Here is a 27,544-nt window from a genome sequence, read left to right as displayed (position 1 = left end):
TCTGATTGTTCTCAGAGATGCTTCTGGCTTTTAACAAATAAGGCAGAACATAAACAGCTCCAGGCAAGACAGAAAACATCAGTCATCTGATTCCAGCATCTGTGTTATTGCCAGTAAGGGTGAGTGGGTTTTAATTTTTATATATCACCTATATCACTACTGGAACCATCTCAGTGGTTTGGCAGATTGCCTTACTAAATACTAAATCTCTTAGAAATTCTTTGGTCCAGTGGTCGAATATAGTCACATCAATTACATATGTCACTGAGTACTGGCTTTTTCCTTCAACAGATTGGTATATTGTTGTATACAGGTGATATAATGAGAGGTCTTGAACTCTATAGAAAATTTATGGTAATAAGATTGCAACCATAGTTTTTTTGTTATAGGTTCTCCATTATGAAGAATGATCTGAGAAGAGTCTTAGTCCATTTAAGTGGCTAAAACATAATGCCATAGACTTGAGGGCTTATAAACAACAGAAATTTATTTCTCACAGTTCTAAATGTTAAGAAGTCCAAGATTAAGGTGCTTATATTTGGCGTCTGGTGAAACCCTGCCTCTTAATTAATAGATGGCATTCTCCTTCTGTGTCCTCAAATGGAGAAAAGGAACAGAGGAGCTTTCTTTTTTATGAGGGCACTTATTGCATTCATAGGGACTCCATCCTCATAACCTAATCATCTCCCAAAGTCTCCACTCCCTAATACTCTTGCATGGAGGATTAGATTTCAACATATGGATTTTGGGGAAACATAAAGATCCAGTGTCTATAGCAAGAAGTTTATATTTTCATAGAACAAAGGAAATAAATTATTATTTTTATGGAATGATCTAGTATAATGTCTCCTAATCTGCCAATTTCACACAATGTGTTTAATGTTTTATATACTTTTTGTGTGTGTGTGTACTTCTAGGAAATGATAAGCTAATCTGTATTACACAACTGTTTATGAGGTATTACAGACCTGCACAGAATCAGAGTGTATAAATACTATATGGAGAGAAGACTTTGGTTTTATACTGGCGGTTTACGACATAAAAGAGCAATAAGGACAGAGTTCTGTTTTGCAAATTTTGCCAGTAATAACCATGTGTACAGGTAGATATGCATTTGTACCTTCTCCATATACTTAATTTTACAGTGAGTTAAAAATGCCAAAGATGAATTTTCTTTTATCCTTGTTTATTTCAAGAGGTGGAACATTTCCTCCATAGTTATCCTTGAGATGTTGCTGATAGTTTAGGTTAGATTAGCAGGAATTTAACTAGAAAACAGGGAAGGTCTAGCTAAGAAGGTTTTCAAAAAGACATGGACCATTTAAAGGAATAAATGCTGTATATGTAGTTTTGAATAATGTTTTGCTCAATACTCATAAATAATGATATTTCACAAGTATGAGTTGGAGGAAGTATGAGTTTAATTAAAAAGAAGTGAAAAGAGAGTCTCTTGGCTACAGAGAGCATGACTTCAATGTAGCAAAATATGTCAATACTTCTTTTAAAGTTGCTGTGTTTAAAATATCCTATATTTTAGTAGTACATGATTGCAATTGCTTTATTATGGTTACAAATTATGTGAATTTGGAAATTAGGGTGTACAGAATAGGAGTGGCATTTTAGAACTTTACCATATCTGCTACCTCAGTTGAGATCTCTTAAACAGCTGGAGATACCTCTAGAAGCCGGGGGCTGGGACAACTAAGACTGGAGAAAACATTTCCAATATTAACTCTACCCACAGTCTGCTTTTCGGGGTGTGGTGGCTCAAGGACAGTCTCAACTGGGACTCTAGTACTTTGAACCTACACGGGCCCTCTCTGTGAGGCTTGGAATTCTCGCAGCATGGTGGCTAGATTCTGGGAGGGAATGTACAAGAATGAAAGCTCCAGGAAGGAGAATTATGCAAAAATGATTTTTGTGTAATTTAAAAAAATTATGCAAAATCTGCAAGACCTTTTATAATCTAGATTTAGAAGTCACATAACATCACTTGAAACTTGCAGTATTGAATGAAGAAGTCAAAAGCCCACTCAAATTCAAAGGGAAACTCATAGACCTTACTTCTTAATGAGAGGAGTGCAAAGGATTCTGAGGCCACATTTTAAAAGTCATATTTTTTATTCCATGGATTATTTACATTCTTCCCCATGAAAAATACATACTCAACCTCCCAATACCCCACATAAGATTGTATCATGTTACTGAATCAGGCCAGAACCTTGTCATGTAAATCAGGTCCAAGTGCACGTGAGACCTCTTGAGTTCAGTACCTCATGTTCTGCTCCTCTCAATCTGAAGACCTGTGAATTAAAGAAATACATTTAATTCAGGAACCAAAAGTCAAATACTGAACGTTCTCACTTATAAGAAGGAGCTAGGCTAGGCGCAGTGGCTCACGCCTGTAATCCCAGCGCTTTGGGAGGCCGAGATGGGTGGATCACTTGAGGTCAGGAGTTCAAGACCACCCTGACCAACATGGTGAAACCCTGTCTGTACTAAAAATACAAAAATTAGCCAGGCGTGATAGTGCATGCCTGTAATCCCAGCTACCTGGGAGGCTGAGGCAGGAGAACCACTTTATCCCAGGAGGTGGAGGTTGCAGTCAGTCGAGATCACACCACTGCACTCCAGCCTGGGTGACAGAGTGAGAGACTCCCTCTTAAAAAAAAAAAAAAAAAAAAAAAAAAAAAGAGGGAGCTAAACATTGAGCACACATGGCCATAAAGATGAGACCAATAGACAAAGCAGACTACCAGAGGGGGAAGGGAGGGAGGGGTGTGTGGGTTGAAGAACAACCTATTGGATACTATGCTCACTACCTGGGTGATGGGATCCGAACCCCACACCTCAGCATCATGGAATATCTCCGTGATGTTATCCATGATAACAAACCCACACATGTACTCCCTGTATCTAAAAGTTGAAATTGTTTAAAAAAAGAAACACTTTATATGCCCGCACATTCAGCCAACAGTAATTAGACAGGTATTCAATAAACTTAAATGCACCTTGGCTTATTTAAGATGAGGAAAAAATGACACATAAAATTGTTACTGGTCCAGAACATTTCTGATCCAGCTAGCATGTGTTGTCACTTCTGTGATTCAAGCTCATATTGTTGCCTGGAGTTAATTCTTCATATCTCTTGTCTTTGTCCTTTGACTTATCTTACTATCCTCCATAGGAAATAGAACATGAAGATAGATAATTATTTTTTGTTTGTGTAAATGGAAGTTCAGTGATACGAAGTCTTGTTTTATATTTCTCTACTTCTTCCCTTTTCCATTTGAGTGGTATTACTTCTCCCAGTATATTTTGTTCTCAAAAAGATTGTGGATATTTAAAAAATATCATTGAGATTTATTCAATTAGATTCAGATTGATATGGTTTGGCTATGTCCCAACCCAAATCTCATCTTGAATTCCCATGTGATTTGGGAGGGATCCAGTGGGAGGTAATTGAATCATGGGGGCAAGTCTTTCCCATGCTTTTCTTGTGATAGTGAATAAGTCTCATGAGATCTGATGGTTTTAAAAGGAGGAGTTCCCCTGAACAAGCTCTCTCTCTTTGCCTGCTGCTATCCAGGTAAGACCTGACTTGCTCTTTCTTGCCTTCTGCCATGAATGTGAGGCTTCCCTAGCCATATGGAACTGTAAGTCCAATTAAACTTCTTCCTTTTGTAAATTGCCCCTTCTTGGGCATATCTTTATCAGCAGTGTAAAAATGGACTAATACAGTCAATTGGTACCAGTAGAGTGGCGTGTTGCAGAAAAGATACCCAAAAATGTGGAAGCGACTTTGGAACTAGGTAACAGGCAGAGGATGGAACAGTTTGGGGGGCGAAGAAGAAGACAGGAAAATGTGGGAAAGTTTGGAACTTCATAGAGACTTGTTGAATGGCTTTGACAAAAATGCTGGTAGTGATATAAACAATAAGGTCCAGGTTGAGGTGGTCTCAGGTAGAGATGAGGAACTTGTTGGGAATTGGAAGAAAGGTGACTCTTGTCATGTTTTAGCAAAGAGACTGGTGGTATTTTGCCCCTGCCCTAGAGATTTGTGGAACTTTGAACTTGAGAGAGATGATTTAAGGTATCTAGTGGAATAAATTTCTAAGCAGCAAAGCATTCAAGAGGTGACTTGGTTGCTGTTATAAGGGAATCAAGTCCCTTATATAAGGGAAGCAGAGCATAGAATTTCAGAAAATTTGCAGCCTGACAATGTGATGGAAATGAAATCCCATTTTCTGAGGAAAAATTCAAGCTGGCTGCAGAAATTTGCATAAGTAATGAGGAGCCAAATATTAATCCCCAAGACAACAGAGGAAATGTCTCCAGGACATGTCAGAGGTCTTTACAGCAGCCCCTCCCATCACAGGCCCAGAGGCCTAGGAGGAAAATGTGGTTTTGTGGGTTGGGCCCGGGATCTCTGTGCTTTGTGCAGCCTAGGGACTCGGTGGCCTGCGTCCCAGCCACTCTAGCCATGGTTGTAAGGGGCCAACATAGAGCTTGGGCTGTGGCTGAAAGAGGCCTATGTAGAGCTCAGGCCATGGCTTCAGAGGGTGCAAGCCTGCAGCTTCTACATGATGTTGAGCCTGCAAGTACACAGAAGTCAAGAACTGAGGTTTTAGAACCTCTGCCTAGATTTCAGAAGATGTATGGAAATGTCTGGATGTCCAGGCAGAAGTTTGCTGCAGGGGTGGGGCTCTCATGGAGAACCTCTGCTAGGGCAGTGTTGAAAGGCAATGTGGGGTCAGAGCACCCACACAGAGTCCCTAATGGGGCACTGCCTAGTGGAACTTTGAGAAGAGAGCCACCATCCTCCAGACCTCAGAATGGTAGATCCACCAACAGCTTACACTCTGCATCTGGAAAAGCTGCAGACACTCAACGCCAGCCCATGAAAGTAGCTGGGAGGGAGGCTGTACCCTGCAAAACCACAGGGGCAGAGCTGCCCGAGACCATAGGAACCCAACTCTTGTATCAGTATGACCTAGGTATGAGACATGGAGTCAAAAGACATTATTTTGGAGCTTTAAGGTTTTACTGCCTCACTGGAGCTCAGACTTGCATGGGGGCTGTATCCCCTTTTTTTGGCCAATTTCTCCCATTTGGAATGGCTGTATTTACCCATTGCCTGTACACCCATTGTATCTAGGAAGTAACTAATCTGCTTTTGATTTTACAGGATCATAGGTGGAAGAGACTTACCTTGTCTCAGATGAGACTTTGGACTGTGGACTTTTGAATTAATGCTGAAATGAGTTAAGACTTTGAGGGACTGTTGAGAAGGCATGATTGGGAGAGGATGAGAAATTTGGGAGGGGTCAGGCTGGAATTATATGGTTTAGCTGTGTCTCTACCCCAATCTCATCTTGAATTCCCATGTGTTGTGGGAGGTACCCAGTGGGAGGTAATTGAATCATGGGGTCAAGTCTTTCCCGTGCTGTTCTTGTGAGAGTGAATAAGTCTCACGAGATCTGATGGTTTTTAAAAAGAGGAGTTCCCCTTCACAAGCTCTCTCTGTTTGCCTGCTGCCATCCAGGTAAGACGTGAGTTGCTCTTTTTTGCCTTTCGCCATTAATGTGAGGCTTTCCCAGCCACATGGAACTGTAAGTCCAATTAAACCTCTTTCTGTTGTAAATTGCCCAGTCTAAGGCATGTCTTTATCAGCAGCACGAAAACGGACTAATACATACTCACATCTTTTTGAGATAAACCCTTGTCTGTACTGGGCCCCCTATGAGTCTGTTTTGAGAGTTTTAGAAGCCCTATTGTTTAATAGAGAGGACTTGCTAAACAAGACCCTAAGACCCTTAGAAGGGCTTTTGTCTGTCTGCATGGGTCTATGAGGCACCAACTTATCTCTTTCTGAGGTCTTATTAAAGGGTTTTTAAGTCATACCCTTAGCATTATCTTCAACTCCAGTCCACATTTTCCTATTAGCACACTAGCTTTGACATTACCCTATGGTCCTTTCTTACTCTGAGAAGCCCCAGCTGGCGGGCATTACTGGCCTAAGCTCTTTATATTTCTTCCCAATTCTACTCAAAGTTAAACAATGTACTTTAAGTTAATTTGACTTTATCTCTCTGCTCCCTCATAGATATCTAGAAGAAGCCAGAAAATATATTTAACAATTCTCCTTAGCATGATTATCAAATTTATTAGTTACTTTATTTTCCCTTTACTGCAGCTTCCAGTATTATTGTCCTCATGTTCTGTTGGGCTCTGAAAAACAGCCTTCATGAGGCTTATCAGGATTCTGCTCACCAACTCCTCCATTAACCAATATTGCATATTTTTAGGTTTTTGTTCCACCAGTATTAACTCCCAGTTACCAAAATCTGTTTCAGTAATTTTTGCACCATAAAAAGAAAACTCCAAAATATAGTAATTTTAAACAATAAAAACAGATTATTATGCTCCAAGTTTCTATCCATCAGAAATCTGAATATGGTACAGAGGAGATGACTCTGTAATTTCTATGGCTTCTTCTGGGTTGAACCAAGGGCTACTGGAGTGAGACAAGATTTAAATGGCAGGGAGCTAGAATGCTGGGGATGGAGGATGTGATCTCAGATGACTCCTTCACTTATCTGTTTTCACCAAGGCTGGATAGGCTGAAGTTCAAGCTCAACTAGGCCTTCCCAGTCTACTAGTTATGCATGGCATCTCCATATGGTTTAAGCTTATGATAGCATAGTGATTGGGTTCCAAAAGGTGGATGTAGCAAGGGAGAGTTCTAAGATTTAACATCCTAGGAGAACCACATAGATGCTACCTTTAAGTAACATTTTATGATGTAGGCAGAAGTCACACAGAGTCACCTATATTTACTTTTTTGGCCAAGTATTCATATGCCTTGCTACATTCTAGGAGAAAAATTACAGATTCCACATCTCAGTGAGGAGGCTGTTAAAATTTTTGAAGTGATTTTTTAAACTATCAAAGACACTAATGTTCACTTTAGATTTAATGATCCTTTCATGATTAACATTTTTTATTGGTTCTACAATAGGTTCTTAATCATGCAATATACCAAGTACTATATTGGCTAATGAACTTGGTCTTTATCTCCAGATAACAGAACTGAGTCGTAAAAATAAATTCTGATACAAATAAATAATTATTTAAAAAGTGGTAGTTTTAGTAAAAGGATTGTATATAAAGTGATGCGGAGGCATATTGGGAAAAGTAAACATACCTGAGGAAAGTATACAAATGAAAGTGGCTTCTTGCACTGAGCCTGATTTATCCAAACAAAGAATAACAATAAACTATTTTAGGAAAGGAAAACAAGTACATGCATAAGCATAGATGCATGTTTATAAGCTCCCATAAAATAATAGAAGTTCCCAATATATGGCAGATAATATTAGGGCCAGTTCAAGAAGGATTATGATTATTATTTTTTTGTCATCTTTAGAAACTCATGTCAATCCACCGGTAATGGCAACATCGAACATCATAGGTAGGTAAGCTATTTAGCTCTGTTGTCAGTTACCTTTTGAACAGTGGAGCTGCAACTAAATGTATAAAGGGATGCAGATTACAGGATACAATTGTAGGAGACGATGAGAAAGTGAAAGAAAGAGCTGGAGTATATGAGAATCCTGAAAGAACTGCAGGCGTGTACAATTTGATGTACAGGGAAATCTGAGAAATCCAACATGTCTATCTGGCAAAGTGGGATCCTCAGGAGAAGCCCATAGATAGATCTGGGGGAATTTGTTTTCTCTGTATAGCTACTACTCTATGGATCTGCAGCCAAGCATCTGGTGTTGGGATGAGGGCTCCTGCTTTTGATCAGGGCTGGCAGTTAGGAAGAAGACAAGCTGGATGTGGAGCCGAGGAGAGTGATGACAAGCTGAGACCCACTGAGTACCTCTGTATTTGACCATTTTTCATCTGGCCTTAAAGACTTCCTGAGAGGAATGGCTGCTGCTGCCATATGCCTTCCAAACCTCATTAAGCATTTATCTTTGGCCAATTCTGATTAAAGCCCAGAGAGAAAAGGATTCTGACAAAGGCAGTTGTCAGACTAAATAATCTGACAATGGTATACTTGCCCATATATGCTTCTTAGACTTAGCAGTGTGTATCCCAAATAATATCTGCCTCAGAGTATTAGTCATTAATAGTTAGTTGATAAGATTTGAAGAGAAATAGCCAAATTGTTAAAACATTGAACTATATTTATTATTTAATATTATTGATATTTGCTTTCAAGCACAAGATTTGGCTCAGTCCCATCTTCCTTGACGTTTAATATTCCTTGCATTCTGGAAGGACACCTGGTAATGTGACTCCTGACCCAATAATAACCATGTCTCTGCAAAATATATTCTCAATTCCTAATCCATTAAGTATCTTCTTCTGCAGTTATATTTTTCCTTCATGAAATTGTTCTGGTCAGAGTTAGTTGGATCAGGTATATGTCTTGACCAAAAATGGGCCAGTCATATTCCCCCATCTAAAATATTGGAATGACGACTAAAATCAGGACGAATATCACTTAGAACTATGTAAAGCTACTATTACTGTGATCTGTTAAAACAGGGTCTGTGAGGTGCCATGGTTTTTCCCTTCTTCCAGAGAGCCAAAGAGAATCTATCCAATTTGCAACTGATAAAGAGAAATAAAGGACTGATTTTTTAAGAAATGCAAAGACTAGAGGAAATAACAGCATCAATTGTTGGTTTATTTGTATTTCTAAAACATTCTCTTGAGTTCAGTTTCTTCCCCAGCTTCCACAGAAAATGATCTTTATAAGATATTTCCCCGATTTGACTCAGCTGGCCCGATTTGGTTTCTACTATAAATATTCTAAATAATATATGTCAAAATAAGTGTCTATATATAAGTAATTTAACATATATATAACATATAAATAATATATAATATTTATTTTTATGAGTTTTTTTTAATGAGATGGGGTCTCACTCCATCACCCATGCTGGAATGCAGTGGCATGATCTTGGCTCACTGCAACCTCCGCCTCCCAAGTTCAAGTGATTCTCCTGTCTCAGCCTCCTTAGTAGCTGGGATTACAGTTGCCCACCACCATGCCTGGCTAATTTTTGTATTTTTAGTAGAGACAGGGTTTCACCATTTTGGCCAGTCTGGCTGGTCTTGAACACCTGACCTCAACTGATCTACCCGCCTCGGCCTCCCAAAGTGCTGGGATTACAGGTGTGAGCCACCATGCCCTGACGTAATCTTTTTATATTTTAAATTCTTCAAGTCAGCAATACAACATAGGCAGCAATTGGGAAGTCATTTATCAAGATCTTTCCACTGTAGTAGATAGCAAAGCAGTGTCAACTTCACAAACTACATGTCTATAACACTTTCTTGAAGACGCTAAAGACATTTTATATTTTATTATTATATTTCCAAAGAAAGACTCAAATACTTATGATTTTTTTATGATCTTGGACAATTTATTCTACATATTTGCTCCTTATCTTCCTGTCTTATGTGATCGTTACAAGAATTATGTGTGTTAATACACACAGTATACTTAGAATGTTGTACCATATACAAGTGAACTTGTTATAAGCATTAAATGTATTTATTAATTCTGGGGGCTACATCCCTCAATGTGATATGACAGTATAATTTATCTATTTTACAATAAAAATGTAACCAATTTTTCAGGTTAAGAATATTAAACAAAGGAAATATCAGTATGTGTATATATGTATATACATATGTGTAAACATACACTTTTTGAAAAAATTATGAGACAACTTATATATAAACATTGTGTTTTAGACATTATTTTGCAGAAAAGGAGACAAATTAACAGAAACTACCTTCTAAATCCCTTGTATTCAATGTTAGTTATTTCACAGCAGATGTATAATTGCCATTTATAATCACAAATGATTATAAACTTCATCTGTGATTTCAGGTCTCAGTCATGCTGGCACCAATGCCTATGAGAATAAAAGTACCCTAATGATGATTTTCTGTTGGTTCATTAAGGACAACCATTGTTTCTAAAGATTTAATCAAACACGAATGCTCTGCTGGTTATTAGTACTGTGACCAAGGAAATTACAGGCTATGAAACTATACAAGAATCAGTAGCTATTAAGAAAAAGAATAAGAAATGAAGTGAGACAGGAAGGGAAGGGGAGAGAAAAAGGAAGGAAAGATTAAAAACGTATAATCTATAGTATTTTTAAGTATTTAAATTATTTTAAAAATAATATTTCAATTACAACTCAGGTCATTTGATAACCCTTATTTTATTTCCACATTCTATCCTCCAATCAAAACCTGTAATATTTATGAAATCAATGACATGGAAAATTTGTCTGCTTCTGTGAGTTTTTCATAAACTGATATGACTGTAAATAACACAAAGTTTTGTTGAATCACTTAAACAGTTGTTTTTAATATGTATCTATTAAACCTAATTTTTCACTAGTTTTCCTAGTATCATCATTTAAGAAACATCTGATGTGTGAGCCTCTATTCTGCTGCTATGATAAAGCTTGTGCTATTATAACAAGATAATAGGTCATGACCTAGACAACCATAAATCCACTGCCTATCTCTATAGATTTGCCTATTCTGAATATATCATATAAATGGAATCATATAATATGTTGTCTTTTCCTGACTGGTCTTTTTCCCTTAGCACAAAGTTTGCAAGTTTCATCAATATGGGCCATGTATTAGTACTTTGTACTTTTAATTGTTAAAAAATATTTCATTGCAGGAATATACTACATTTTGTTTACTTTTTCATCAGTTGATTTGAATTTTGGGTTCTTTCTATTTTTTTAATATAAGTTTGCTATGAACATTTATGTATAAGTTTTATTGTGGTTATATGTTTTCTTTTCAATTCAGCATATACCCAAGGGCAGAGTTATTGGAGATACACTAACTATATGCTTAATGTTTGATGAACTGTCAAACTATTTTCCAAAGTAGTTGCACCACTTCATATTTCCATCAACTTGCCAGCATGTCAGCATACAAATGATAAATTAGGATCAAATATCTGCCCATTCTCTCCAATAATAATAATAATAATAATAATAATAATAATAATAATTGTCTTTTATAATGTAGCAGTCCTCCTGGCTATGAGGTAGTATCTCATTGTGTTTATAATTTTAATTTCCTTATTAATGATATGTTCAACATCTTTTCATATACTTAATGCTCATTTGAATATCTGATTTGAACAAATGTCTATTGAAATGTTTTTTTAATTAAAATTGAAATTAAAATTAAAAAATTAAATTTTTTTTAAATTTCTTATTTGAACTTTTAGTTTCAGTTATACATGTGCAGGCTTGTTCTATAAATAAATTGTGTGTCATGGGGGTTTGGTGTACAGATTATTTCATCACCCAGGTAAAAAGTATTCTCCCTGACTAGTTTTTTGATCCTCCCTCCCCTCCCATCCACCACCCCCAAGTAGGCCCTGGAGTCTACTGTTCCCTTCTTTTATATCCACACGTACTCAGTGTTGAGCTCTCACTTATAAATGAGAACATGTGGTGTTCGGTTTTCTGTTCCTGCATTAGTTTGCTTAGGCTAATGGCCTCCAGCTTCATCCTTGTTGCTGCAAAAGACATGATCTCATTTTTTATGGCTGCATAGTATTCCATGGCATATATATGTACCACATTTTAATTGTCCAGTCTACTGTTGATGGGTATTTAGGCTTATTCCATGTCTTTGCCATTGTGAAGAGTACTATGATGAACATACACATACATGTGTCTTTATGATAGAATAATTTATAATCCTTTGAGTATATACCCAATAATGAGATTGCTGGGTCAAATGGTAGTTCTATTTTAAGTTGCTTGAGAAATTACCAAATTGCTTTCCACATTGGCTAAACTAGTTTACAGCCTCACCAACAGTGTATAAGCATTCCCTTTTCTCCACAACCTCACCAGCATCTGTTATTTTTTGACTTTTTGATAATAGCCATTCTAACTGTTGTCAGATGGTATCTCATTGTGGTTTTAATTTGCATTTCCCCAAAGATTAATGATGTTGAGCATTCTTTCATATGTTTCTTGGCCATGTATGTATCTTCTTTTGAAACATATCCTTTGCCAACTTTTTAATGAGGTTGTTTTTGGCTTGTTAATATAAGTTTATTATAGATTCTGAATATTAGACCTTTATCAGATGCATAGATTGTAAATATTTTCTTTCATTCTGTGGGTTATATAGTTACTCAGTTGATGGTTTCTTTTGCTGTAAGCTCTTTAGTTTAATTAGATCTCATTCTTCAATTTTGTTTTTCTCACAAGTGCTTTTGACATTTTTGCCAAAAAATCTTTCTGAGGGCGTATGTCTAGAATGGTATTTCCTCAGTTTTCTTCAAGAGTTTTAATAGCTTTATGTTTTATATCTTTAATCCATCTTGAGTTGATTTTTGTGTATAGAGAAAAGGAAGCTCTCAATTCTTGTTGTAGAAATCTTAAGGAATCTCTTCAACAGAAGAGGTAAGATGGGATCAATGATGCCCACTGTCACCACTTGTATTCAAGGTAGTACTGGAAGTCCTAGTCAGAGCAGTCAGGCAAGAGAAAGAAATAAAAGACATCTAAATAGTAAGAGAGGAAGTCAAACTCTCTGTGTTTGCAAATGATATAATTTTATGTCTAGAAAACCCCATTGTCTCTGCCCAAAAGCTCTTAGATCTGTTAAGCAACTTCAGCAAACTTTCTGGATACAAAATCAGTGTACAAAAATCAGTAGAATTTCTGTACACCAATAACATCCAAGCTGAGTGCCAAATCAAAAATGTAATCCAATTCACAATACACACACACACCTAGGAATATAGCTAACTAGGGAGATGAAAGATCCCTGCAACAAGAATTTAGACAAAACACTGCTGAAAGAAATCAGAGTTGACAGAAACAATGGAAAAACATTCCATGCTCATGGATAGGAGGAATCAATATTGTTAACATGGATGTACTGCCCAAAGCAATTTAAAGATTCAATGCTATTCCTATCAAACTACCAACATCACTTTTCATTGTATTAGAAATCTATTCTAAAATGGATATGAAAACAAAAAAGGACCCAAACAGCCAAAGCAATCCTCAGCAAAAGGAACACATCTAGTGGCATCATATTACCCAAACTTCAAAGTATACTACAAGGGTACAGTGACCTGAATGGCATGATACTGGTATGAAAGTAGATACATAGACCAGTGGACCTAAGGTGTCCAGAAACAAAGCAGCACACCTGCAACCATTGGTTCTTTGACAAAGTAGACAAAAAGATACACTGGGGAAAGGACACTCTATTCAATAAATGGTAGTGAAATAACTGGCTACCCTTATGCTGGAGATTAATTTTTTTTATTTCAATAGCTTTAGGGGTACAACTGGTTTTTGGTTATTACATGGATGAATTGTATATAGTGGTGAATTCTGAGATTTTACTGTACCCATTACCTGAATAATGTACATTTTACCCAATAGATAATTTGTCATCCCTCACCCTCTTCCATCCTTCCCACTTTTGAGTCTCCAGTGTCCATTAAACCACTCTGTATGACTTTGTGTACACATAGCTTAGCTCCTACTTAGAAGTGAGAACATGTGGTATTTGGATTTCTATTCCTGAGTTACTTCACTTAGGATAATGGCCTCCAGTTCCACTGAGTTACTGCAAAATATAGTATTTCATTATTTTTTGTGACTGAGTAGTATTCCATAGTATGGATACACACACACGCATACACACACACACACAAACACACACCCATACACAATATTTTCTTTATCCACACATCAACTGATGTACACCTAAGATTGATTCCATATTTTGCAATTGTGAATTGTGCTGCAAAAAAGATACACATGTTGGTGCCTTTTTAATATAAGAACTTATTAGGTGCATAGATATTTATGATTGTTGTCATAATAAATTGACACTTTGCCATCATAAAATTTTCTCCTTTACCTCATTACAATATTGTTTTGATATTTCATCTGATATTAATATGGTCACTGTGACTTTTTAAAATTAGTGTTTTTTTAGTATTCTTTATACATCTATGTATTTAGTTATTTTCACACACTGTTTTCCCATTTAAAGATTGCCTCTTGTAAGAAGTTTAGAGTTGAGTCCTATTTTCATTTTGCTTTCTTTTGTTCTGTCTGATTTAGTCTTAGTCTGACAGTATTGCCTTAAGTTGTGTTATTATTAACTTTATATTTAATGTGATATTTTGGGGTTTGGGGGTAATATTTTATACGTATTTTATTGCCTTCTGGTTTTGTTTTTTTTCTATATTTATTTTGTGTTATTTGTCAATTTTCAAAGTTTAATTTTAATTTTGTCATTGCCTTTAGCTAAATGTATTTTCATGTTTTTCATTGATTGCTCTGAGAGCAATTATATATGCCCTTAACGCTTTACATTTAGTTATAATTAATTTTTTATTACTTTATATAGAAGGCAGAAACATTACCATTATTTGCCTACCACTCATCCTTTAAATGTTTGGTGTTGTAGGCATTAAATTTATCTGTTTTAATTTCCAAAACATAATGTTATAATTATCTTGACTTAAATATATATGTATATATAATAAATTAGGAGGAATAAATAAGCATATATTATATTTAATCTTAGAGTTTTAGTTCCAGTGTTCTTTACTCATTTTTTGACTTTCCATTAGATATTCTTTTTAGCTTGAAGAACATTTTGAAAGTGTTTCTGTAGCAAGTCTGTACAAACAACATGAAAACAACTCTATTCCATAACAAAAGTTCCTTGAAGGTACTAACTACTAAAACTGATTCAAGAAAAAATAAATAATTAAATAGTTTTTAGATCTATTGAAATTTGTTACTTTATACTTAAAACCCCAGGCAAAGATACTTTCATTGGTAAATTATATACAATATTTATGGAATACAATCAGCTCTTCATAATTTTTTCCAGAAATTAGAAGATGAGAGCAAATGTCTCAAGTGATTTTGTATGGTCAACATTAACCTAATACTCAAATCAGACAAAGGCATTAAATGAAACATTACTGCAGACTCATATTCTTCATTAACAGAGATACAAATATTTTCAAAGTACTAGTAAATCTAATCCAATAATTTTTTATATGTAAAATTGATAGTATAACCTAAGCAGTGGAGTTTACGTCAGGAATTCAAGGCCAGTTCAACATTCAAAAACCAATCAATGCAACTCACTTTATTAAGAGACTAAAAAAAAAAGAATCATGATTATTACAGAAAAGCATTCATCTAAAGTTAACATCCATTCCTAATAAAAATTCTTTGCAAACCAAGAATAGAGGCAAACTTCTTAACCTGATGGAGGGCACCTACAAAATCCCTATAACATTCACAGTGTAAAACACTGAGTTTTCCCTCCAAAATCAGGGAAAACGGTAGGGTGTACTCTTTTGTCACTCTACTTTGACTTTGTATTGAGACCCTAAATAGTGTTATAAGACAAGAAAGAAATAAAATGTTTTACAGGTTGAAAAAAGGTAAAACTGTCCTTGTTCACAGTGTTGTCATTGTCAAGACAGAAAACTCAAAGGAATTTACAAAAAATTCCTAGAACTAAAAACGAATTTAGTGAATTCATAGGATATGACATTACCATTTCCAATTCAGTTGTGTTTCTGCATAATGCCAAAGAGCAATTGAAATTTAAAATTAAAAAAATATATTAGTGGCACTTCACCAGTCTTAGTAAAAACTTTCTCATGCTAAGAAAGACCATTAGATATTTTGACATTATTTAAAAATTGAAGCTTCTGAATACAAATTATTTAATTAGATTTATCTTTCTACAATTCCTAGACCCAATATACTTGATAGACCTTTAATATGCACTTTGCTGTGCAGCCTCTTTGCTTGTGAGCATCTAAGGCCTGAGTATTTTTGTAAAGCCTGGATGACCATGTGCTATGGATGGCAGAATAATTTAGCATTTAAGTAAGGGAAGACTACTTAATATATAAGATACTCCTCTGTCATGAAATTTTTCAGTTCAAAGAGTTGCTGAAATTCATGACCCTGGATTTTAAGGGCTATGATTTTTCTTTTGTCTCTTTACATTAAGATGATCATTTTTTTTTCCGTGATGATTGTTATTAGTTTACTAAAGAGTATTTAACCTCTCTATATGTAACTAAGCTCTTGCCTAGACTGATGAATACTAGTGATTAACTGATCTTCAAATGAGCAAACATGAAGGGTGTTAATGTTATGGGGAAGTATGACTGTATCTAAATTGCTTTTGGCATTTATCCCAGAAACCAAGAGATTTACATAAGGTATAGTTTAAAGCCTTATAACACTGTTGATCTGAGCTTTTTTGAAGGCATGATGTTCTACTAAAAGTGTGAGACTGTTTAATTTTATTTTCTACATTATTTTGCTACCATACACATAAGGAAAATTTGCAATCACAGAAGAAATAAACGTTAAAAGTCATTTAATTAATCTTAATATTCTCATGTGAAAATCATGTTCTTGTAGGTGGTAATGAAATGATGCCTGGAAATTGCCTATTGGAGGTGTGCCTTCTCTAAATTTAGGTTCCTGAATCTAATAATAAAGTGCATTCTAAAACTACAGAAGCAGATTCTCCTGGATATGCATATATAAAACCCTTCAAGTATAGTGTTTGGATAAAAGCCCTATGGTCTTTCAGGGGTGTCACAGACAAAATTCCAACATTTCAAATTTGGGGAAAAGTGATTAATCTGAATGATCTCCAAGGGAGCTCCAAGAGTGAAAAATTTCTAATCCACAAATTGTTTACATTTTAATGTTTCTTTTTTGAAAATATATTCTAAACTGATGGGCCTGGAGATTATTTCTTCCTTTAGGTGATTTTTAAATTTATTTATATTACTTTGCTTTGTAAGAATATTGTCATCAGTTCACTAGTAAGTATTCATTAATTGGCTTTTATGTGTAAAATAATCTTACCTAGATTTATAATGATTACCACTGATTAACAATTACCAAAGTTGTGAGATCTACTCTCTGGAAGCAAAGTTGTTTGGGACTTTTCCCAGACCAAAGAGTTTATATATGACAACGTTTAAAGTCGGTTATATTCCTTTGGTTTGCACATTTTGAGACCTAAAAAAATTTACAACCTCCTGCAAGTGAACTTTGTCAGCTTTTAATAGTTGTGTTTATTTGCATGTGTGTTTTACCTTGCAATTAAACACAAGAGGACATTTTTCATTTTATAATAATGAAATAAGTTTCTATATGGGTCAAGTACCATTCTAGGTACTTGGGATACATTAAAAGATAAATCAACATTCTAATAAATTTCCAATCTGAAAGTCGCCTAATCATTTGTCTATCTCTCTCAAAATAATCTGCCAAAATTAAACTTTTTGTTGGTTTAGCAAGTATTTTTATCCAGCTGTTTTTGATATCTTACATAAAAAATAATCTCTTATTTACAAAGACAACTGAGCATCGTTTGAGGGCACTATCTCAATTTAGTAGCTAATGTATAATTAGCTGACAATTGATATAGATTGCACAGAGAAAACTCTGGGAAAACAGACCTTGGTACTGCCAGTTGTGTTCTATGATGGTCATTTTTGTCTGTGTATGTTCAAGTTACCTCATTTAAAGCAGATGAAAATATGTTTTAAAGCAAAATAGAGCAACAAACTCTCAAGAGCTAAAGAATGGACTCTCTGAACTTAGAGTTCATTCCTATCTTGAATATGCATGGATGTGTGTTTTTGTTTTGAGCTTAAACGAGCTTTGCTAATGGAGTTGCTGCAAACCTTATTTTGTTTAAGTCAGTTTGGAAGAATTTTGGGAAAGCTTTTCAAACTTCTTACCCTATTAACCCAGGAAATTAAATTTTAGTTCATTGCTCTTCAAACCCAAACCTGTGTGTGCATGTGTGTATGTGCGTGTGAGTGTGGTGTGTGTATAGGTCTTTTATAAAATATTGAAGACAAATTATAATCCAGTAACATAATCTAAAATAAAAGGAAAGCTTACGACTTCTCAAAGAGTTACATAAACGTTTAAAATGAATCCCATAAAAAATTCTCCCTTCAGTGTCCCGTTTTTATTAAGCTTTTGGATTTATTCTAACTGATCTTCCTATTGTAGGTAAAGGAGTTTGGGATATACTGGCGTATTTTTTTGAAAATTTTAAAGGAAAGGCAGCCCCAAAATATTGAACAAGTTGAGAATTTTAAAAATTAAATTCATAGAGTTATAATTTTAAGTACTAATTGAGAGGAAAATGTATTTAAAAAGCTTTGCACAAATTATGATATGTAAATATATGGTACAGTCATTGGAAGTTAAAAGACAAGGTTTCTATTTGCTTCTGATACTAGCTCAAGGTGTGAGCTTGAGGAAATGATTTAGGGCCCCTGGTTTTATTGTCAATATTTTTCTAATTTCAAAATATTACTAACAAGCTGTTATAATAACCCCCAAAATGAACATATTATTTCTCTCTCTTTTTGCACACAATTTTAAAATCAGTTTCCAGTACAGGATCTAAGTTTGCAAAAAAAAAAAAAATTAGAATGAAAAGTAGTAACTGTTTGATCTAATAGAAACCCAGATTAAATAATATTAGTGATATTTTATTGAGTACTTATTAAGACTAGTCATTTAAAATATATCCCTTTCAATCTTCCATGCAGTAGGCATTGTTGGTCTTAATCACAGACACAAAAACTAGGGTCTTTGTGTAGATATTTTGAGAATGTTCAAGGCATAAAATTGTATAGGAAAATGACACAAAAGGAATAAAGAGGCAAAAGAAGAAGTTTCCTCTATGGATTACAGAAATGGCAATGAACAAATGAACAAACAAGAACATTTTCAAAACAGTCATTTTGTCCTATGAATAGTACAATTTTTTTAAAAAAATTTATTTTAAGTCCAGGGATACAAGTGTAGGTTTGTTTCATAGGTAAACTTGTGTCATGGGGGTTTGTTGTACAGATTATTTCATCACCCAGGTATTAAGCCTAGGCCCATTAGTTGTTTTTCCTGATCCTCTCCCTCCTCCAACCCTCCAGCCTCTGAAAGGGGCCAGTGTGTGTTGTTACCCTCTATGTGTCCATATGTTCTCATTATTTAGCTCCTATTTATAATTGAGAGCATGTGGTATTTGGCTTTCTGTTCCTGTGTTAGTTTGCTAAGGATAAAGGCCTCTCTTTATCCCTCATGGATAAAGACCATGTCCCTGAAAAGGACAAGGTCTCATTCTCGTTTACGGGTGCATAGTATTCCATGGTGTATATGTACCACATCTTCTTCATCCAGTCAATGATTGATGGGCATGTAAGTTGGTTCCATGTCATTGCTATTGTGAGTAGTGCTGCAATGAACATACACGTGCATGTGTCTTCCACAATGGCTGAACTAATTTATACTCCCACCAAGAGTGTATTAACGTTCCCTTTTTCCACAACCTCACCAGCATCTGTTATTTTTTGACTTTTTAGTAATAGCCATTCTGACTGGTGTGAGATGATATCTCATTGTGGTTTGGATTTGCCTATTATAATGATCAGTGATGTTGAGCTTTTTTTCATATGATTCTTGGCCACATGTATGCCTTCTTTTGAGAAGTGTCTGTTTATGTCCTTCGCCCACTTTTTAATGGCCTTATTTTTTTATTGTAAGTGTTTTTGAGTTCTTTATAGATGTTGGATATTAGACCATTGTCAACTGCATAATTTGCAAACATTTTCTTCTTTTCTGTAGGCTCTCTGTTTACAAATAGTTTTGAGGTAGTTTCTTTTTCTGTGCAGAAGTTCTTTAAGCTCTTTAGCTTAATTAGCTACCATTTGTCAATTTTTGCTTTTGTTGCAATTGCCTTTGGCATCTTCTTCATAAAATCTTTGCCCATGCCTATGTCCTAAATGCTGTTGCCTAGAGTCTTCTAGGGTTTTTATAGTTTTGGATTTTACATGTAAGTCTTTAAACCATCTTGAGTTAATTTTTGTATATGATGTATGGAAGGGGGTCCAGTTTCAGCCTTCTGCCTATGGCTAGCCACTTATCCCAGCACCACTTATTGAATAGGGAATCCTTTCCCTGTTGCTTGTTTTTTTTTTCAGGTTTGTAAAAGATCAGATAGTTTTAGATGTGTGGTCTTTTTCTGGGTTCTCTGTTCTGTTCCATTGCTCTATGTATCTGTTCTTGTACCACTACCATGCTGTTTTGGTTGCTATAGCCCTGTAGTATTGTTTGAAGCCAGGTAGCACAATGCCTCCAGCTTTGTTAATTTTGCTTAGTATTGCCTTGGGTATTCAGGCTCTTTTTGGGTTTCAGATTAATTTTAAAATAGTTTTTCTAGTTCTGTAAAAAATGTCAGTGGTAGTTTAATGAGAGCATCATTGAATCTATAAATTGTTTTGGGCAGTGTGGTCATTTTAATGATACTGATTCTTCCTATCTGTGAACATGGAATGTTTTTCCATTTGTTTGTGTCATCTCTGATTTCTTTCAGCAGTGGTTTATAGTTCCTTGTAGAGATCTTTCCCCTCCCTACTTATCTGTATTTCTATGTATTTTATTTTATTTTTATTTTTGGCAATTGTGAATGGGAGTTTATTCCTGATTTGGCTCCTGGCTTGACTGCTGTTGGTATATGAAATGTTAATAATTTTTGCACATTTATTTTGTATGCTGAGAGTTGGCTGAAGTTGTTTATCAGCTTAAGAAGCTTTTGGGCTGACTATGGGATTGTCTAGGTATAGGATCATGTCATCTGCAAACAGGGATAGTTTGACTTTCTTGCTTCCTACCCGAATGCCCTGTAAAGCAAGTTCTTGGAGACTTTCAAAGTGATCTAGAGTCCCACACAATAACAGTGGGAGACTTTAACACCCCACTAATAATATTAGATCATCGAGACAGAAAATTAACAAAAATATTCAGGAACTGAACTCAGCACTGGATCAAATGGAACTCATGGATATCTACAGAACTGTTCACTCAAAAACAACAAAATACACATTCTTCTCATAGGAACATGGCACTTACTCTAAAATTAATCACATAATTGGAAGTAAAACACACCTCAGCAAATGCAAAATAACTGAAATCATAACAAACAGCCTCTTAGCAGCACAATCAAATTCGAAATCAAGACTAAGAAATCATCTCAAAACCATACAGTTACATGGAAATTGAATAAACTGTTCCTGAATGACTTTTAGGTAAATAATGAAATTAAGGCAGAAATCAAGAAGATATTTGAAACTAATGAGAGCAAAGATGCAATATACCAGAATCTCTGGGACACAGCTAAGGCAGTACTAAAGGAAAAATTATAGCACTGAATGCCCAAATCAAAAAGTAGAAAGATGTAAGTTAGCAACCGTACATCACAACTAAAACAACTAGAGAACCAAGATCAAACAAATCCCAAAGCTATCAAAAGTCAAGAAATAACCAAAATCAGAGCAGAACTGAAGGAGATAGACACACACACACACACACACACACACACACACACACACACACACACACAAATTCAAAATATCAATGACTCCAGGAGCTGGCTTTTTGAAAAAAAAATAATAAAATAGACTGCTAGCTAGACTAATAAGAGAAGAAGATTCATATAAACACAATCAGAAACAATAAGATATCATCACTAATCCCACAGAAATACCAACAACCATCAGAGAATATTATGAACACCTCTATGCACATAAACTAGAAAATCTAGAAGAAATGGATACATTCCTGGATATATACACCCTTCCAAGACTGAACCAGGAAGAAATTCAATCCCTGAACAGACCAATAACGAGTTCAAAAATTGAGGCCATAATAAATAGCCTACCAACCAAAAAAAAAAAAAAAAGAAAGAGCCAAGGACCACAGGACAAGATGGATTTACAGCTGAATTCTACCAGATGTACAGAGAGGAGCTGATACATTTCCTACTAAAATTATTCCAAGAAATTGAGGAGGAGGAACTCCTTCCTAACTAATTATATGGAGCCAGCATCACCTTGATACCAAACCTGGCAGAGATACAACTAAAATAGAAAACTTCAGACTAATATTCTTGATGAACATCAATACAAAAATTGTCAACAAAATACTGGCAAACTGTATCCAGAAGCACATCAAAAAGCTTATCCACCATATTCAAGTAAGCTTCATCCCTGGGATGCAAGGTGAATTAAACATATGCAACTCAATAAATATGATTCATCTAACTAAAGACAAAAACCACATGATTATCTCAATAGATGCAGAAAAGGCTTTCTGTAAAATTCAACATTCCTTCATGTCATACAGTCTCAATAAACTAGGTATTGAAGGAATATACCTGAAAAATTAAGAGGCACATACGGCAAACCCACAGCCAACATTATACGGAATGGGTAAAAGTGGGAAGCATTCCCCTTGAAAACCAGCACAAGACAAGGATGCCCTGCAAGGATGCCCTGTCTCACCACTCCTATTCAACATAGTATTGGAAGCTCTGGCCAGGGAAATCAGGCAAGAATAATACTGTTTAGACCAGACAGATCACTGTTCCCAGAGCTCTTATTAATGTATGTTACCATTTTCATTCTAAGGGGACAGCTTAAAATAAAGTGACAACACTAAGCTCTTACCTAATGCACTTTAAACCAAATCTGGTATGTAATGCCATTTAGCTTCTCAGGCAGTTTTCAATTCCTAGTCCATATTTCTCCTTGCCATGATCAGTTATATAGTCTCCAAGATTGAGACTTTCCCTACCACTCATCTCTTATTCTGAACCCTCATAGGAATTGCCCTGGATGGTCTGTTCTTAGCAATCTAAGCTTTTCTAGCACGCACTTCAAAATTGTTCCAGTCTCTACCCATTATCCAGTTCCAAAGCCTTTTCCACATCTTGATGTACTTGTTATAACAACACTGCACTCTTCAGTACCAATTTCTCCTTTAGTCCATTTTTTCTACTATAACAGAATACCACAGACTGGGTAATGTATAAGCCACATAAATTTATTCCTTACAATCCTGGAGGCTGAGAAGTCCAAGATCAAGGTACCGGCAGGTTGTGTGCCTGGTGAGGGCCTTTTCGCTGTGTTACATGGTAGATGATCAGAAGACCTCCAATCCAATTCTTTAAACCCCTTTAGAAAGATGTAAGGCTTTCTAAAGATGAGGCTGTGCCCTCATGATTTAATCATCTCTTAAAGTCTCCACCTCTTAATTCTATCACATTGGTGATAAAGTTTCAATACATGAATTTTGGGGAAAACATTTAGACCACAGCAGCCATCTAACATGGATGAAGTTTGAGGACATTATGCCGCATAAAATAAGCCAGACACTGAAGGGCAAACAGACACTGAAAGGCAAACACTAAATGATGTCCCTTACATGAGGTATCTAAAGTAAACAAACTCATAGAAGTAAAAAGTAGAATGATGGCTGCCAGGGCTGGGAGGACGAAGCAATGGGGAGTTGCTGCTCAATCTGTATGAAGTTTCAGTTATGCAAAATGAGAAAGTTCTAGAGTTCTACGGAACAACACTGTTTATAGTTATAAATACTGTATTATACGCTAAAACATTTAAGAGTATAAATTTCATCTTATATGTATTTTATCACACACACACAGAAGGACATTAAAGAAAAAGAGAATTACAAAGAAGGAAACTGAGTCCATGTAGAGGATCAGATTGTCAAATCAGATTCACATAAACCAGAGATATTACCCAGTTTCAAGCTTTACTAAGGCATCATGGATACAGGCTCAGACAAGTCAGAGTGAGATCTGGGACTCATGGGGTGCTTCCCAGGTTCTTCTTTCACTCATGACACACACACCTCTCGTGTAGAGTACTAGTTCTAAGTGAGGTTTGCTGAGCGACATTACATAGCAATGAACCCTCAAACTATGAAACATCTCCATTATATGTTACCCTAAGGGAGTTATGTATCTTACAAGATATTTTCCTGAGAGTAATGCTTCATAGATTCAGGCTTATTAACTTTACGTAATCCTTAACCAAAGTCTATTTACTTTGGTATTCAGTTGAAGAGGAGAACAGAGAAGATTTTATATATATATATATGTATACACACACACACCCACACACATATCCATATAAGTATATACATATATACATATATGTCTATATGCATACATATATGTGTGTATGCATATATGTACATGTATATATACATATATGTACATGTATATATACATACACGTACATGTATATATGTATATATGTATATGTATATACACGTATATGTATATGTATATGTATGTATATGTATATATGTATATGCATATATGTATATATGTATATGCATATATGTATATATGTATATGCATATATGTATATATGTATATGCATATATGTATATGTATATACATATGTATATGCATGCTATGTATATACATATGTATATGCATGCATATGTATATACATATGTATATGCATGCATATGTATATACATATGTATATGCATGCATATGTACATACATATGTATATGCATGTATATGTATATACATATATATGTACATACATATGTATATGAATGTATATGTATATACATATATATGTACATACATATGTATATGAATGTATATGTATATACATATATATGTACATACATATGTATATGAATGTATATGTATATACATATATATGTACATACATGTATAGGTATACATACATATACATGTATGTATATGTATGTATATGTATACATGTACATGTATACATATATACGTATATGTATATACATACATATACGTATATATGTGTATATGTATATACATATGTATACGTATATATGTGTATATGTATATACGTATACGTATGTATATGTGTATATGTATATACGTATACGTATATATGTGTATATGTATATACATACGTATACGTATATATGTGTATATGTATATACGTATACGTATGTATATGTGTATATATACGTATATATACATGTACGTATATATATAAACATATACATATATATGTGTACGTGTATATATATATATAATATACATATATATGTATACGTATATATATTTTACTTTCTCCCCTAGAAGTCTATCTAATCTACCCTTTGGTAAAGGGAGTAAATATACCTTGAGTCAACTGTATTAACTACTTTATTTCAAGAGAATTCTCTATCAAGAGTATGAAAAAAGATAAAAGCAAGTAAAATATATATGTACTTAGCTGAGTGAGTAATATCATATGCTTGTCAGGTATTTTTGAATGTTGCCCTCAGGGGAAAAATATACATACACACACACACTCACAAACACACACACACACACACAATGGGTAGTTTGGCTGGTATGTGGTCATAGATTGCAGAACAAATTTTTTTGCAAGTTTTTTATGTCATGCTACGGCAGTGCTTTTACAGGAATGTTAGTAACAAATTCCATTTCTTGACTAAGAATTGTTGGAGATTCTTCAATTCTAACATTCTCCCATAACACTAACAATTGAGTAGGCAATGAGTACATAGACAGTTTTTTGAAGACGAGAATGACGTCACCCAAACTATGCTTTAGGAATCCTTTGGCCATATTTAGAACAGTCTAGAGGGGGAGAAATAAGAAAGAGGATGGCCATTTAGAATATCAGGTGTATAGTTAAGGCATAGATTATATTGACCTGAAGTAGAACAGCTATAACGGAAATAGTAGTGCACTGGTATTATATGGTTTGATAATTGAATTAGTGCAAGAATAAAAGATAAAACAAGAATAGTCAATAAAACAAAATATTTAATTTTTTAAATGCTTGAGTTGTTTTCTTGATTCTAAGCTTTACTAGGTATGTGACCATTGATATGGTTTGGCTGTGTCCCCATCCAAATCTCATCTTGAACTGTAGCTCCCATAATCCTCCTGTGTCTTGGGAGGGACCCAGTAGGAGTTAAATGAATAATAGGGGCGGTTTTTTTCTCATGGTGTTCTTGTGATAGTGAATAAGTCCCACAAGACCTGATAGTTTTATAAAAGGCACTTCCCCTGCATACACTCTCTTGCCTGCCACCATGTAAGAAGTGCCTTTGCTTTTTCTTCACCTTTTGCCATGATCGTGAGGCCTTCCCAGCCATGTGGAACTGTGAGTCCATTAAACTTCTTTTCTTTATAAATTACTCAGACTTGGGTATATCTTTATTGGTAGCATGGAAATGAACTAACACTACTATAAATAAGTTATATGCTTTGTTAGACTTCATTTCCTCATCCATAATAAAGAGATGAGATTCTAGGTTTATTATGAAGTTTAAATGCATCACAAGTAAGTCCTAGTAAATGCTTGTGCATGGGTATGTGTGTGTGCTGTGCTATATTATGTAACTATCAATATTTCAATGGGATTACTAATTGCAGGACAGTGCACTTCCCTTTCCCACTAGTAGTTCTCAAGAATAACTATAAAATGTGTTAAGAATGAAATATCCTGAGCTAGGGATAGAGTGTCAGAAACAGCCCAGATCATCCCCCTATCCCTCCTAGAGGATATAACATCTTAGGTTAGAAAATAACTGCTCTGATCAATGCAGGCTTTGTTTCTCTCTGGCGTGAAGCAGGACGTCCTTTGAAGCTTTAGCCCATTGATTCACATGGCCTGTAAGGTTTATAACCAGGTTGAGCTGCTTTACAGAGTCCCTCCAGCTTTGGTGCAATAGGGCTACACACAGCTGAGACTTCTGCCTCAGGCAGCTTTCTTGAGCCCTGAGGGACCAGTTCACAGTGGACCCTAGGTTTTTTTTTTGGTCTCTGCTGTCTGTGTATAAATAATAAGTACACCCAATGTAATTTATTGCCTATGAGTAGTTCTGTCTCACCAGACTATGACGTGGGTAACCAATGCACAGTTAACCTGCTTTACACTAATCATATTTATTTTAAAAATGTGATTAGTTCCAGAATCCTGAGTTTCTGCACAATGCAAAAACAACCGTAAAACAGTGGATCATGAGAGGAAGTCTGCAACTCTTGAAATTCCATGCATTGTACATTCTGTTTCAAATCACAAATACTGAGATTTAGATTTTCAGGCTGTTGATAAGCTAGATTACGCTTGTTAACTTATTAGCACATAATTCTTGGCATTTAAGTATATACTTTGTGCTTACCAAAGCATTCTGGCAAATTGAGACCTCGATTCTTCAATACTTGGCTTATTGAAGATGAAAATAGCTAATCACAGATGAAGATCTAAAAGTGCAGACGCATTCAAAATAACATTGGACATTGCATGTACCAAAAAATGGCACTTGAAATTATTTTGCCCATTAACATGTCCTTGTATTAAGAAAATTGGTCTTTACAGAGGCCATGGATATTTTATTAATCAGCAGCCCTGTGGGAGATCCAATTATGTGAGTTAATAATAAATAACCGTGGTGTATAAATGAATGTGACATTAATGTTCACATGAGCACTACTGAGAATATAATATCTTCAAAATATGATTTTTACTGAGAGAGCCCTGCCTTCTTGGTAAAAATGCTATCCTACATGGGTAGCAAA

At 35.2% G+C, this 27,544-nt stretch overlaps 1 long non-coding RNA gene across 1 annotated transcript in view, besides 1 other annotated feature; it reads right to left on the bottom strand.

Moving 5' to 3' along the window:
• Positions 1 to 2,102: 2,102 nt before the first annotated feature.
• Positions 2,103 to 27,544, bottom strand: part of LINC02699 (long intergenic non-protein coding RNA 2699) — a 470,852-nt gene continuing 445,410 nt past the window's right edge. Inside the window, exon 5 of the long non-coding RNA NR_183694.1 lies at positions 2,103 to 2,303. This is a non-coding gene — a long non-coding RNA (long intergenic non-protein coding RNA 2699). The remainder of the gene's footprint in view (positions 2,304 to 27,544) is intronic.
• Positions 14,352 to 14,589: a silencer, noted in NCBI's record as "fragment chr11:25933512-25933749 (GRCh37/hg19 assembly coordinates)". NCBI's record gives its function as "represses an EF-1alpha promoter that drives an FKBP-Casp9 reporter gene in an ReSE screen in K562 erythroleukemia cells {active_cell/tissue: K562}" and the evidence as "EXISTENCE:reporter gene assay evidence [ECO:0000049][PMID:32094911]".

This window comes from Homo sapiens, chromosome 11 (assembly GCF_000001405.40).
Source record: "Homo sapiens chromosome 11, GRCh38.p14 Primary Assembly".
Classification (NCBI taxonomy): domain Eukaryota; kingdom Metazoa; phylum Chordata; class Mammalia; order Primates; family Hominidae; genus Homo; species Homo sapiens.
This window is presented reverse-complemented; position numbering and strand designations above follow the sequence as displayed.